At 47.9% G+C, this 14,289-nt stretch overlaps 1 annotated feature.

Moving 5' to 3' along the window:
• Window positions 6,815–6,997: a silencer, noted in NCBI's record as "fragment chr16:9278377-9278559 (GRCh37/hg19 assembly coordinates)". NCBI's record gives its function as "represses an EF-1alpha promoter that drives an FKBP-Casp9 reporter gene in an ReSE screen in HepG2 liver carcinoma cells {active_cell/tissue: HepG2}" and the evidence as "EXISTENCE:reporter gene assay evidence [ECO:0000049][PMID:32094911]".

Below are 14,289 nucleotides of genomic sequence, written 5' to 3'. Positions count from 1 at the left end.
TCATCAGCAGCATTATCACCATTACCATAATCATCACCATCATCATAATTATTGTCACCATCATCACCATATCATCACCATCATCATTACCACCATTGTCATCATCATCATCACTATCATCACCATATCATCACCATCATCATCATTACCATCATCACCATATCATCACCACCATCATCATCATCATCCTGATCTCTCTCTTCAAGAATTCACTGTTCAGTGGGGAAGGCCCTGGGATAAACAGAGAACAAAGGCAGGGTCATGAGCATTGCAACCACCCCCAAGAAGTTAGGAGCACAGGGAATGGAGAGATAATTTACCTAGGAGAGGCACAGGGATCATCTTTGGATGGAGAGCCAGTGAATGACCTGTGTTGGCACAAACTGAGGGTAAAAACAGATCACCTTCACTTGGAGAAATGTTACTTCACTTGAAGTTACTCTGAGCACTGTGCAAGGAGTCTAAAGTCTAAAGTCCAGAACTCAAGTTCTGACTTGGCTCTAAGTATGTGACTTTAAGGTAGGATTTTTCAACCTTGGCATTATTGACATTTTGGGCTGGATCACTGTCCTGTACGTTGTGGAATGTTTAGCAACATCCTTTCAGGCCTCTACCCACTAGATGCCAGTAGCACTCCACCCTCCCCATTAGGACAACCAAAACTCCTGAGGAGTAAAATCACACCTGGTTAAGAACCACAACCTTGCCGGGTGTGGTGGTGCATGCCTGTAATCTCAGCACTTTGGGAGGCCGAGGCAGAAGGATCACCAGAGATCAGAAATTTGAGACCAGCCTGGCCAAGCTGTGGAGAAATAGGAATGCTTTTACACTGTTGGTGGGAATGTAAATTAGTTCAACCACTGTGGAAGACAGTATGGCAAATCCTTAAGGATCTAAAACCAGAAACACCATTTGACCCAGCAATCCCATTACTGGGTACATACCCAAAGGAATATAATTAATTCTATTATAAAGATACATGCACAAGTATGTTTATTGCAGCACTATCCACAATAGCAAAGACATGGAACCAACCCAAACGCCCATCAATGATAGACTGAATAAAGAAAATGTAGGCCAGGAACAGTGGCTCATGCCTGTAATCCTAGCACTTTGGAAGGCCAAGATGGGTGAATCACGAGGTCAGGAGTTTGAGACCAGCCTGGCCAACATGGCAAAACCCCATCCCTACTACAAATACAAAAATTAGCCGGGAGTGGTGGCAGGAGCCTGTAATCCCAGCTACTCAGGAGGCTGAGGCAGGAGAATTGCTTGAAACCGGAAGGCGCAGGTTGCAGTGAGCCGAGATTGCACCACTGCACTCCAGCCTGGGCAACAAGAGTGAAACTCCAACTCAAACAAACAAACAAACAAAAAACAGATTTGGCCGGGCACAGTGGCTCATGCCTGTAATCCCAGCACTTTGGGAGGCCAAGGCAGGCAGATCTTCTGACGTCAGGAGTTCGAGACCAGCCTGACCACCATGGAGAAACCCTGTCTCTACTAAAAGTAGAAAATTAGCTAGACGTGGTGGCACATGCCTGTAATCCCAGCTACTCAGGAGGCTGAGGCAGGAGAATCACTTGAACCCAGGAGGCGGAGGTTGCAGTGAGCCGAGATCGGACCATTGCACTCCAGCCTGGGCAACAAGAGCGAAACTCCATCTCAAAAAAAAAAAAAAAAAAAGGAAAATGTGGTACATATACACCATGGAATACTATGCAACCATAAAAAGGAATGAGATCAAGTCCTTCACAGAGACATGGATGAAGATGGAAGCCATCAATCTCAGCAAACTAACACAGGAACAGAAAACCACACACTGCATGTTCTCACAAGTGTGAGCTGAACAATGAGAACACATGGACACAGGGAGAGAAACAACACACACTGGGGCCTGTGCAGGGGAGGGGAGGCAGACCATCAGGACCAACAGCTAATGCATGCTGGGCCCTCATACCTAGGTAACAGGTTGATAGGTGCAGCAAATCACCATGGCACACGTTTACCTATGCAACAAACCTGCACGTTCTGCACATGTATCCCGGAACTTAAAGTAAAATTAATTAATTAATTAAAATAAAATAAAGTGCTCAGCACAGAGCCTGGCACACAGTAAGAGATCCATAAATGTAAACCATTCTTCTCATTACTACCCAACTCACAGGCATAGAGCAAAAATCGATGTAAGTGTGCTGATGGTCCTAACACAGCTCTCACTCCACATACTGGTCTCACCGCCCTTTCCCTGCTGCTCAGCCAAACCTTGGTGGAATGAAAAAGTTCTCAAGGAACCATAGCAGGACAGACAAATTCTCTGAAGCTTGCCCCTAAGCACCCAGCCAAGAAAGCCCCCATTCGGATTTTCAGCACTCTGCTGACTGCCAGACTGACAGAGTTAATACTGCAGTATTTTCAGCCTTCGCTCTAGCCCTGGAAAAAAAAGTGAGATGCAGCAAAGAATTCCAGGGCTTTAATATTCTTTCTGATCATTACTATTGTTGTGGTGCATTTGGCGAGCATATTATGCTTTTAAATCAGAGACCTGGCAGTTACCCAGGCTGTACCCAGCAAAGAGAGTTGTTTTGTTGGATGTCATAGAAAAAGCGATTGCAAGAAGAAAAAGAGGTGGTTCATGAGTGTGTGCATATGTCCAAATGCATCAAATTATATACATTAAATACAGCTGCTTTTTTAAAAGAAGATGCAGAAAGAGTACACACACTCTCAAAAGAAGAATTAATTGTTCATAAGCCAAAAAAGATGGTGCTTCTTGCTTCTAGGTCTCAGGGGAATATCTTTTGGTCTCTGGCAAAAGTAAAAGTATAAAAGGAAGAAAGTGGCTTTGGACTTAGAAAGAATCGGGTTCTCATTAAGTGACTTTGCATAAGCATCTTCTTGTATACAAGCCTCCGTCTCTTCACTTGCAAAATAGAAGTAACAGCCCCTTGCTCTTTGGGAAGGCATGAAATAGATACAAAGTGTTTTCCCCAGGCCCTACTCCTAATGAAAGGTGGCAATAGTAGGTGTAGGGAAGTATGGAAGAAAAAAATGGAGATGGACAGGGGGCCCTGACCAGTAGAAAAGAGGTGTTTTGTTTCCTTGTTTGTTTGGTTTTGGTTTTTTGTTGTTGTTGTTTTCAGATGGAGTTCCACTCGTTGCCCAGGCTGGAGTGCAGTGGCGCAATCTCGGCTCACTGCAACCTCCACCTCCCGGGTTCAAGCGATTCTCCTGCCTCAGCCTCCCGAGTAGCTGGGACTACAGATGTGTGCCACTATGCCCGGCTAATTTTTGTATTTTCAGTACAGACTGGGTTTCACTATGTTGGCCAGGCTGGTCTCGAACTCCTGAGGTTTTTAAGATGTGATGCTACTGCAGAGAAATGATCCTCCCACCTCAGCCTGCTGTGGGAGCCCTGGGATACTCTGAATCTGTGACAAAGGAGAGATTCCCCCCAATGAGCCCAGCCTGAAAAATCACTGCCAACACCTCCTACCAGGATGAAGGAAGGAGGAGCCACAGGCCCATAATTAAGGCATGTAAGGGAACTATGGCCACAGAAGCAGAACCCTGGACTCCACTCCTGGCTCTGGTAGAAATGCCCCAAAAAACCACTTCCCTTTTCTTTATTTTTAAAATCATTATTGATATATAATAATTGTACGTATTTGGGAGGAACATGTATTTGGTTTTGTTTTGTTTTGAGATACAGTCTCATCTGGGCTCACTGCAGCCTCTGCCTCCCGGGTTCAAGTGATTCTCCTGCCTCAGCCTCCCAAGTAGCTGGAATTACAGATGTGTGCCACCACACCTGGCTAATTTTTGTATTTTCAGTAGAGACGGGGTTTCACCATGTTGGCCAGACTGGTTTCCAACTCCTGGGCTCAAGCGATGTGCCTGCCTCAGCCTCCCAAAGTGCTGGGATTACAGGCGTGAGCCACCTCGCCCGGCCACATGTGATATTTTGATGCATGTATGCAATATGTTTGAGGCTCTGGATGGCTCAATTGCCCCGATTTGAACATTACACTTCAATTTTCTCGACTTTTCCCTCTTCATAAAAGAAGTTCTAACAGTCAACTACAATGCCTCTCCAGGCCTTTGTTTTCTCATCCCTTGAGTGGAACATAAAACATGTAACTGCTTATATCACAGAGATGCTTCAGGGCTCCAGGGAGAAATGTGCAAAATCAATGTCTCTGTCAATTGCAAAGCACTATACAAATGAGGGGACACAGCAGTGCCTTGTCATCAGCTGCTTGGCGTTTCCCAGATGATTCGCAGGTTTTAGCAGTTCCAGAAGCTTGATTCAAACTCCCAAAATTCAACTGTTTTATGTGCACTGTCTCAGACCCATAAATGCTCCAGAAACCATCTGCCTACCCTTGACACTTATTTCTTTTCAGGCCATATCCTGAGCCCATTTTTATGAATTAAGTCCTTCTGACACCTGGACTATTCATCAACCAGCCACCTAAAAATGGCACAAAGGCATCAGCCACAGCTTAATCATGTGGCACCCAGCAGATGCCCAGGAAATATGGGATTAACTGGACTGACTCACAAACACATCCAATAATCCATTAGCTTCCTTGGCTCAGGTTGGCTTGGCAAGATTCACAGAGGGAATTTCTTAAAAAAAAAAAATCAATGCAAAACCAAAACAAAAGTGTATGCTCTTAAAACTTAGGAGGACAGCCAGGTGTGGTGGCTCGCACCTGTAATCCCCATACTTTGGGAGGCCATGGTGGGCGGATCACTTGAGCTCAGGAGTTCAAGGCCGGCCTGGGCAACATGGCAAAACCCCATCTCTACAAAAAATTGCAAAAATTATCCAGGTGTGGTGGTGTGTGCCTATAGTCCCAACTACGTGGGAGGCTGATGTGGGAGGATGTCTTGAGCCCAGGAGGCAGAGGTTGAAGTGAGCTGTGATTGTGGCAATTCACTCCAGCCTGGGCAGCAGAGCCAGACCCTGCCTCAAAAATAACAATAACAAAAAAACTTATGAGGACAACAAACGTCTCCCCGTGCCTATCACTAGAACGGTGAAATTTAGAACACAGCAGAAGCAAAACTCATATAATATGCATATACCTCCATACATACATACATACATGTATACATGCAAATGTACATACATACCCAAAGCATGCAGAGCGATATCCTGGGAAAAGTCCTTGAGCTCCATGAGGCACTGTTTGAGTGGGTTAAAATCCCAGAACCACCGTCTAACAGCTGAGTAACTTATTAACTAACTTACCTTTCTTACTGTCCATGTAGCAGTAATGCTACATGGAAATGACACCACCACGCCTTCCCAAAGAGGAGGAAAAGCACTCTAATTGTTGACAATGTGATCAAGCCATCAAATGTGTGTCAAGACAGCTATATACATTATGAAACAACTCACACTTGTATTACTCAATAATATAGGCAAGAAAAAATTAAAAAGAAGACTATGAGCATTTTTATCCTAACCAGCCCATGGTGAGCCTCCTGCAGTAGTCTGCTTACTCACCCCCCTGAATCAGTGCACAGTTTTGGTGCTTATGCCAAACCTTGGTGCCATTTTCATTTGTTAAAATGCATATTTTTCACTCACTGTCAGTTTTATTTGCCATTTTGGCTGTGATTAATGGTTTCCTTCCTGAAAGTGTGATTCTTTTAAAACCCTGGCATCTATGCATCTCCTTTGGTTCCTGCCTCTGGCCTTTGCCCATTTCTCTGTCTTGCACTGGCCCACTTGACACCCTGCAGTGCCTCCAACCACCACCTCTTCCTTCACCTGGTTCTGAGCTCCTGGGACACTGGGATGGGAGTTCTCAGGAGCCATAAGTCAAAAGGAACAATTATACCCTCCAGGTTCAGAAACATGTTTCAGGTCCAAGGCCAGAGACCATGCCCTGCTAGGCCCCATCCATCATAGTTGATTAAAGCTAGACAAAGGAAATGCTTACACACTGTTGGTGGGAATGTAAATTAGTTCAGCTTCTATAGAGAACAGGGTGGAGATATCTCCAAGAACTAAAAATAGAACACCATTTGACGCAGCAATCACACTACTGGGTGTGATCTACCCAAAGGAAAAGAAACGCTTACATCAAAAAGACACCTGCACATATATGTTTTATCACAGCACAATTCACAATAGCAAAGTCATGGAATCAACCAAAGTAGTTATGAAGACAGGATTAAATAAAGAAAATGTGGGCTGTGTGTGTGCGCATGTGTGTATGTGGTGTATATACACGTAAAAATACACATTTATGTGTATATATGTGGTATTTATACATACATATGTTCAAATATCATGGAATACTATGCAGCCATAAAAATGAGTGAAATCAAGTCCTTTGCATGAACATGAATGGAGCTGGAGGCCATTATCCTAAGTGAAATAACTCAGAAACAGAAAATCAAATACTACACGCTGTCACTTATACGTGGGAGCTAAACAAATGGGTACACATGGACATAAAAGATGGTAATAACAGACACTGGGGATTCCAAAAGGGGAAAAGTTGGGAAGGGGTGAGGGTCGAAAAATCACCTCTGGGGTACAACGTTCACTATGGTGATGGGTCCATTAGATGCCCAAACCTCACCATGACGCAATATATCCATGTAACAAACCTGCACATGTACCTTCTGAATCTATAATTTAAAAAATAAAATAAAATGTTAACATCACCTCAAAGGTACTGTGCTGTTAATTCCATAATTAAAATATCTTTCTCTAAAAGAAAAATGCTACAGCTATGACAACATTCCCTTAACACTTACCTCATAGTGAAAGGTGACAGCCTGCTGGCAACCCTCACAGCCCTCGCTCGCTCTCGGCGCCTCCTCGGCCTTGGCTCCCACTCTGGCCGCGCTTGAGGAGGTCTTCAGCCCGCCGCTGCACTGTGGGAGCCCCTTTCTGGGCCGGCCAAGGCCGCAGCCGGCTCCCTCAGCTTGCGGGGAGGTGTTGAGGGAGAGGCGCGGGCGGGAACCAGGGCTGCGCGCGACGCTTGCGGGCCAGCGCAAGTTCCAGGTGGGCGTGGGCTCGGTGCGCCCCGCACTCTGAGCGGACGGCCGGCCCACAAGCTCCGAGCAGTGAGGGGCTTAGCACCTGGGCCAGCAGCTGCTGTGCTTGATTTCTCGCCGGGCCGCAGCTGCCTCCCCGCAGAGCAGGGCTTGGGACCTGCAGCCCGCCATGCCTGAGCCTCCTCCCGGCCTGCCGCCGTGGGTTCCTGCGTGGCCCCACCTTCCCTGACGAGCGGCGCTCCCTACTCCACGGTGCCCAGTCCCATCCACCGCCCAAGGGCTGAGGAGTGCGGGCGCGCTGTGCGGGACTGGTAGGCAGCTCCACCTGTGGCCCACGTGCGGTATCCACCCAGTGAAGCCAGCCAGGCTCCTGAGTCTAGTGAGGAACTTGGAGAACCTTTATGTCTCGCTAAGGGATTGTAAATACACCAATCAGCACTCTGTATCTAGCTAAAGGTTTGTAAACATACCAATCAGCACCCTGTGTCTAGCTCAGGGTTTGTGAATGCACCAATGGACACTCTGTATGTAACTACTCTGGTGGAGAGGTTTAGAACTTTCGTGTCTAGCTCACGGACTGTAAACGCACCAATCAGCTCCCTGTCAAAACGGACCAATCAGCTCTCTGTAAAAAAGACCAATCGGCTCTCTGTAAAATGGACCAATCAGCAGGATTGGGGGGGGGGGGGCGGTGCCAGAGAAGAGAATAAAAGCGGGCTGCCGGAATCAACAGCGGTAAGCGGTCTGGGTCCGTTTCCCTGGTATAGAAGCTTTATTTTTTTGCTCTGTGGGTCCACACTGTGTTTGTGACCTGTAACACTCACCATGAAGGTCTGCAGTTTCACTTCTGAAGCAAGCATAGACCACGAACCCACCGGGAAGAACAAACAACTCCAGACCTGCCACCTTAAGAGCTGTAACACTCACGCAAAGGTGTGCAGCTTCACTCCAGAGCCAGTAAGACCATGAAGCCACCAAAAGGAAGAAGCTCCGAACACATCCAAACATCAGAAAGAACCAACTCCAGATACGCCGCTTTTAAGAACTGTAACACTCACTGTGAGGGTCCGCGGCTTCGTTCTTGGAAGTCAATGAGATCAAGAACCCACCACTTCCGGACACAATAGAGTCCTTGTAAAGGTTAAGGGCCGTGAGTGAATGTGAAGTTCTTTCCTTGCTCCTCTCTTCTCTGATGGAAAATTGTACTTACCCCATTTCACCATCTACCGCATAAAGCAAATGCCTCCACCCCAGCATTCCTGCCCGACTCCCTCTGGCTTCCTGGTGCTGATGGCGCTTGGGAGAGAAGGCAGTTCTGGCCCTCTGGACTCAGCCAAAACCAGAATCACCTTTCCATGGTGGTCGCATCTCCCTCTCCTTCTCTTCTTGCTGGGGGCGCAAAGAATCCTCCCTGTAAGGAGATTCACAGCCAGCTTCATCCAGAGGGAGCCACATCACCTCTTCCTCTGATGTTGATGCAGCCCTCTGGGGTATCCTCTTTTTCTGGTATTTCTGTCACAGTCTCCATCATCTCCCCTTCCCATCCTATTGCAGGATGAACCCAATGTTGGGGCTCACTGAGGAGGTTAATAAAAACTAGCTGGGCCTCCCTGAAACTGTTCCAAAGCTCAACCTCTTTCTAGAGCTTGCTTCCAAGAAAGGAACCCCGAAATGAAGAGGCCAGGTCTTCCATGAAGTATGTGGGGCAGGAGTGATCTCTGTCTAGCTACATGCAAAGCGTCTGTTACGGGTTTAATTGTGTCACCCAAAAGAGATACATTGAAGTCCTATCTGCAGCACCTCAGAATGTGACCTTATCTGGAAATAGGGTCTTTGCAGCTATAATTAGTTACATTAAGATGGGCTCATACCAAAGTAGTGTGGGTCCTTAATCCATTATGACTGATGTCCTTACAAGAAGAGGGTAAGACCAGGCGTGGTGGCTCATGCTTGTAATTCCAGTACTTTGGGAGGCCAGGGCAGGTGGATCACCTGAGGTGAGGAGTTCAAGACCAGCCTGACCAACATGGCAAAAGCCTGTCTCTACTAAAAATACAAAAAATTATCCAGGCATGGTGGCATGCACCTGTAGTGCCAGCTTCTTGGGAGGCAGAGGTTGCATTGAGCCAAGATCATGCCACTGCACTCCAGCCTGGGCACCAGAGGAAGACTCTGTCTCAAATAACTAAATAGGAGAAGAGACAGAGACACCGAGGGAAGAGGCCAGTGATGACAGATGCAAAGGTTGCAGTGACGCATCTACGAGCAAAGAAACTCCAGGACTGCTGGCAGCCACCAAGAGCCAGGAAAAAGCAAAGCACGATGCTCTCCTAAGTCTTCAGAAAGAGGATGGTCCTGCCCACACCTTGCTTTCAGACTTCCAGCCTCCAGAACTGTGAGAGAATAAATTCCTGTTATTTTAAGCTACTTGGTGTGTGATAATTTGTTACGGCAGTCATAGGAAACAGATACATCTCACAGTTCAAAAAGACAGAAGTTGCACCACCCAGACCAGTCACAGTGGCTCACGCCTATAATCCCAGCACTTTGGGAGACCAAGGAGGGCGGATCACTTGAGGCCAGGAGTTTGAGACCAGCCTCAGCAAAATGCCAAAACCCATCTCTACAAAAAAAAAAATACAAAAATTAGTTGGCCATGGTGGTGCGTGTCTATGGTCCCAGTTACTGGGGAGGCTGAGGTGGGAAGATTGTTTGAACCCAGGAGGTCTAGGCTGCAGTGAGCTGAGATCGTGCCACAGTACTCCAACCTGGACAACAGAACAAGACCCTGTCTCAAAGGAAGAAAAAAAGCTGCACTACCCTGTGTATCATAATCCCAGTTCACACACCTTTTCCAGCTTCCCCGCCTTTACATATGATGCCCCTTCCCCCAGAAAGCCCACCTCTCCCTTTGTCTGCCCAACAAAATTCCATTCACTTTTTATTTTCTTTTCCTTTTTTTTTTTTTTTTTTTTTTTAAATACAGGGCCTCACTGTTGCCCTGGCTGGAGTGCAATCCTCCCACCTTAGCCTCCCAAGTATCTGAGGCTACAGGCATGTGCCACCACACCTGGCTAATTTTTGTATTTTTATTATAGACTTGGTTTCGCTATGTTTCCCAGGCTGGTCTCAAACTCCTGGGCTCAAGCAATCTACCTGCCTCGGGCTCCCAAAGTACTGCGATTACAGGCAAAAGCCACCACACCCACCATCTACTCACTTTTTCAAGGTACATCTTAGATGTCACCTCCTCCAGGAAGCCCTCTCTGACCTCTCACACTCCCCACCACCACCATTGCTCTTGTATATTTCACCAGTGCAGCACTTGTCCCATTGTAGGACAATCGTCCGTTCATGAGTCTGCCTTCCCGGCTGGAGGATGAGCTCACAGAAGCCAGAGAACTCACTCACATCCCTAGTACCCACAAAGGCCTGGCCCAGAATTCCTCATCGGAACCAGAGTTCAGCTACATTCTTAATTAACAGTTTCGCCTCAGTGTATCTGTAACACTTTCTTCCTTCTGTAAAAGAGAGATCTGAAGCAAGCGTGACAAAATGCTAACATCTATTAACTCTCTAGGGTACATACACGGGTGTCATATTATTTCTTGTACTTTTCTGAAGGTTTGAAATATTTCCTAATGAAAATGTTCTCAGCCTTAAAAATGCAATGTAATGGGCTATCATGGACCACCACCAGTTCACCAGAGTGATTTCTTCTGGAAAAAGGCATCTCTAGTTCAAAGCATGCACCCTCGAGCACATTTGGAGGACTCAGCGCACCCTTGTGTCTGGGAAGGAGGAATATTTCTCAAGCGCCCCCAATGTGCTCTTGATTATGTTATTCCTGTTTTCATTATGACTGCAATCCTATGAGATCATTTGACTGTTTCCTTTTTTCAGAAAACAGACTTGTCATGGGGTGCAGTGGCTCACACCTGTAATCCCCACATTTTGGGAGGCTGAGGCTGGCAGATCACCTGAGGTCAGGAGTTTGAGACCAGCCTGGCCAACATGCTGAAACCTCGTCTGTACTAAAAATACAAAAATTAGCCTGGCGTGGTGGCAGGCACCTGTAATCCCAGCTACTTGGGAAGCTGAGGCAGGAGAATTGCTTGAACCTGAGAGCCAGAGGTTGCAGTGAGCCGAGATCGTGCCACTGCACTCCAGCCTGGGCGACAGAGCGAGACTCCGTCTCCAAAATAAAAAGAAGAGAAACTTGCCCTAGGTCATTGATAGGGTTTGGATCTGTGTCCCCAACCAAATCTCGTGTTCAGTTGTAGTCCCCAGTGTTGGAGGTGGGGCCTGGTGGGAGGTGATTGGATCATGGGGGTGGTTTCTTAGGAACGATTTAGCACCATCGCTTTGATGCTGTCCTCTGGATAGTGAGTGAGTTTTCATGTGATCGGGCTGCTTAAAAGTGTGCAGCTGGCCGGGCACAGTGGCTCACGCCTGTAATCCTAGCACTTTGGGAGGCCAAGGCAGGTGGATCACCTGGACCAAGAGTTCAAGACCAGCCTGGCCAACAGGCAAAACCCTATCTCTACTAAAAATACAAAAATTAGCCAGGCATGGTGACGTGTGCCTGTAATCCCAGCTACTCAGGAGGCTGAGGCAGGAGAATGGCTTGAACCTGGGAGGCAGAGGTTACAGTGAGCCAAGATCATGCCACCGCACTACAGCCTGGGCAACAGAGCGAGACCCCGTCTCAAAAAAAAAAAAAAAAGTGCGCAGCTTCTTCCCACTCACTCCCTTCTGCTCTCACTCCCACCATGCGAGACGCCCCCGGTCCCACCATGGGAGACGCCCCTGCTCCCACCGTGCGAGACGCCTCCGCTCCCACCGTGCAAGACGCCTGCTCCCCTCTTTGCCTTCCACTATGATTGGAAGCTTCCTGAGGCCTCCCCAGGAACAAAAGCCCCTATGCTTGCTGTAGAGCCTGCAGAACCGAGAGCCAATTAAACCTCCTTTATTTATAAATTATCCAGCCCCAGGCATTCTTTATAGCAATGTGAGAACAGACTGATACAATTAGCGAAGTGTGGCAGCACACACCTGTAATCCCAGCTACTCCGGAGGCTGAGGCAGGAGAATCGCTTGAACCCAGGAGACAGAGGTTACAGTGAGCTAAGATCGTGCCACTGCACTCCAGCCTGGGCGACACAGCAAGACTCTGTCTGAAAAAAAAAAAAAAAGAGAGAGAGGGACAGAGGGAGAGAGAACAGACTGATACAGCCATTCAGCTAATAAATTTTGGATCTGGGATTGAAGCTGAGTATCTTTTTCCAAAGCTTAGTAACAGAAGCAGAGGTTTACATGGGGTTTGCTGTATGCCAGGCACATATTAGCTTCCTTCAGCTTCACAACAGCCTTGTGAGACAGGTCCTGTGATTATCATCATCCCATCTTACCGATAAAGAATGAAAGGTGCAGAGAGGTTGAGTAGCTTTGCAAAGGCACAGCTAGTTCGTGGTGATGCTGGGATTTGAACATATGCAGTCTGGTTCAGAGCCTGTACTCCTGGCCACACAGCCACACGCCTTCTCCCTGGAGTCTTGCCCACCACAGAGAACAGGCTCACACTCCTCCAGGAAGGGCACCTGGAGGTCAGAGAGGGCATCCCAGTCCCTGAGAGTCTCTCGAGGTCACCGTACCCACGGCTCTGCTTCCAAGCTCAAGAGGAACTGAACTGGGCTCGATCAATCTACATTGAGGAGAGTGTGGGTAAGCAGTGGCTCTATGCAGAGGGCTGTGGTCTGAATATGTCCTCCCAGAATTCATATGTTGAAATTGTTTTAGCCGGGCACGGTGGCTCACGCCTGTAATCGCAGCACTTTGGGAGGCCGAGGCGGGCGGATCACGAGGTCAGGAGATCGAGACCATCCTGGCTAACACGGTGAAACCCCATCTCTACTAAAAATACAAAAAATTAGCCAGGCATGGCAGCATGCACCTGCAGTCCCAGCTACTTGACAGGCTGAGGCAGGAGGATGGCATGAACCCGGGAGGCAGAGCTTGCAGTGAGCCGAGATGGCGCCACTGCACTCCAGCCTGGGCGACAGAGCAAGGCTCTGTCTCAAAAAAAAAAAAAAGACATTGTTTTTTGTGTTTTGGTTTTTTGGGGGTTTTTTTGGAGACAGAGTCTCGCTCTGTCACCCAGGCTGGAGTGCACTGTCACAATCTCGGCTTACTGCAACCTCCACCTCTCAGGTTCAAGCGATTCTCCTACGTCAGCCCCCCGAGTAGCTAGCACTACCAGAGTGCACCACCACGCCCAGTTAAATTTTTTGTATTTTTAGTAGAAACAAGGTTTCACCATGTTGGCCAGGCTGATCTCAAACTCCTGACCTCAAGTAATCCGCCCTCCTCCGCCTCCCCACCTGCTGGGATTGCAGGCGTGAGCCACCATGTCCAGCCCATATGTTGAAATTCTAACCGCCAAGGTGATAATGTTAGGAAGTGGGGCCCTTTGACAGGTGATTAGGTCATGGGGGCAGAGCCTCCTGAATGGGATCAGAGTCCTTATAAAAGAGCCCTGGGAGAGCTCATTGGCCCTTCCACCTCAAGAGGACACAGCAGGAAGGTGGTATCTACAACAAGGAAGCAACCTGATGTTTTGATATAGGTATATGAAGTGATCACCATGATTAAGCTAGTTCACATACCCAACACCTCACGTAGTTAGCTTTGTGTGTGTGTGTGTGTGTGTGTGTGTGTGTGTGTGTGGTGACAACGCTTAAAATCTACCCTCTTAGCAAATTTCAAGTATAAATACAGTATTGTTAGTTATACTACCACGCTGTGCGTTTGGCTTGAATTTCTGATGGTGCCTGAGGTGAATGGGGATATGAAGCGGGATGAGGCCAGCCACAGAAATCAGAGGCTTTAGGGCATGATGATGCATACCTGTAGTCCCAGCTCCTCAGGAGGCTGAGGCAGGAGGATCGCTTGAGCCAGCAGTTTGAGGCTGCAGTAAGCAATGAACACACCAAAGGGAAAGAAAGGAGAGGGGAGGGGAGAGGAGGGGAGGAGGGGATGGGAGGGGAGGGGAAGAGAGGAGGGGAGGAGGGGAGGGGAGGGGAAGAGGGGAAGGGAGGGGAGAAGGGGAGGAGAGGGGAGGAGAAGAGGGGAGGGAAAGGAAGGGGAGGGAAAGGGAAGGAAAAGGAAACAGGAAAGGAAAGGGGTAAGGAAGGAAAAGGAAATGGGAAAGGGGAAGGGGAGAGGAGGGGAGAGGAGGGAAGAGGGAAGGAAAGGAAGAAATCA

This window comes from Homo sapiens, chromosome 16, assembly GCF_000001405.40.
Source record: "Homo sapiens chromosome 16, GRCh38.p14 Primary Assembly".
NCBI classification, from domain to species: domain Eukaryota; kingdom Metazoa; phylum Chordata; class Mammalia; order Primates; family Hominidae; genus Homo; species Homo sapiens.
The sequence above is the reverse complement of the archived record's forward strand: the minus strand, read 5'-3'. Positions and strand labels throughout refer to the sequence as shown.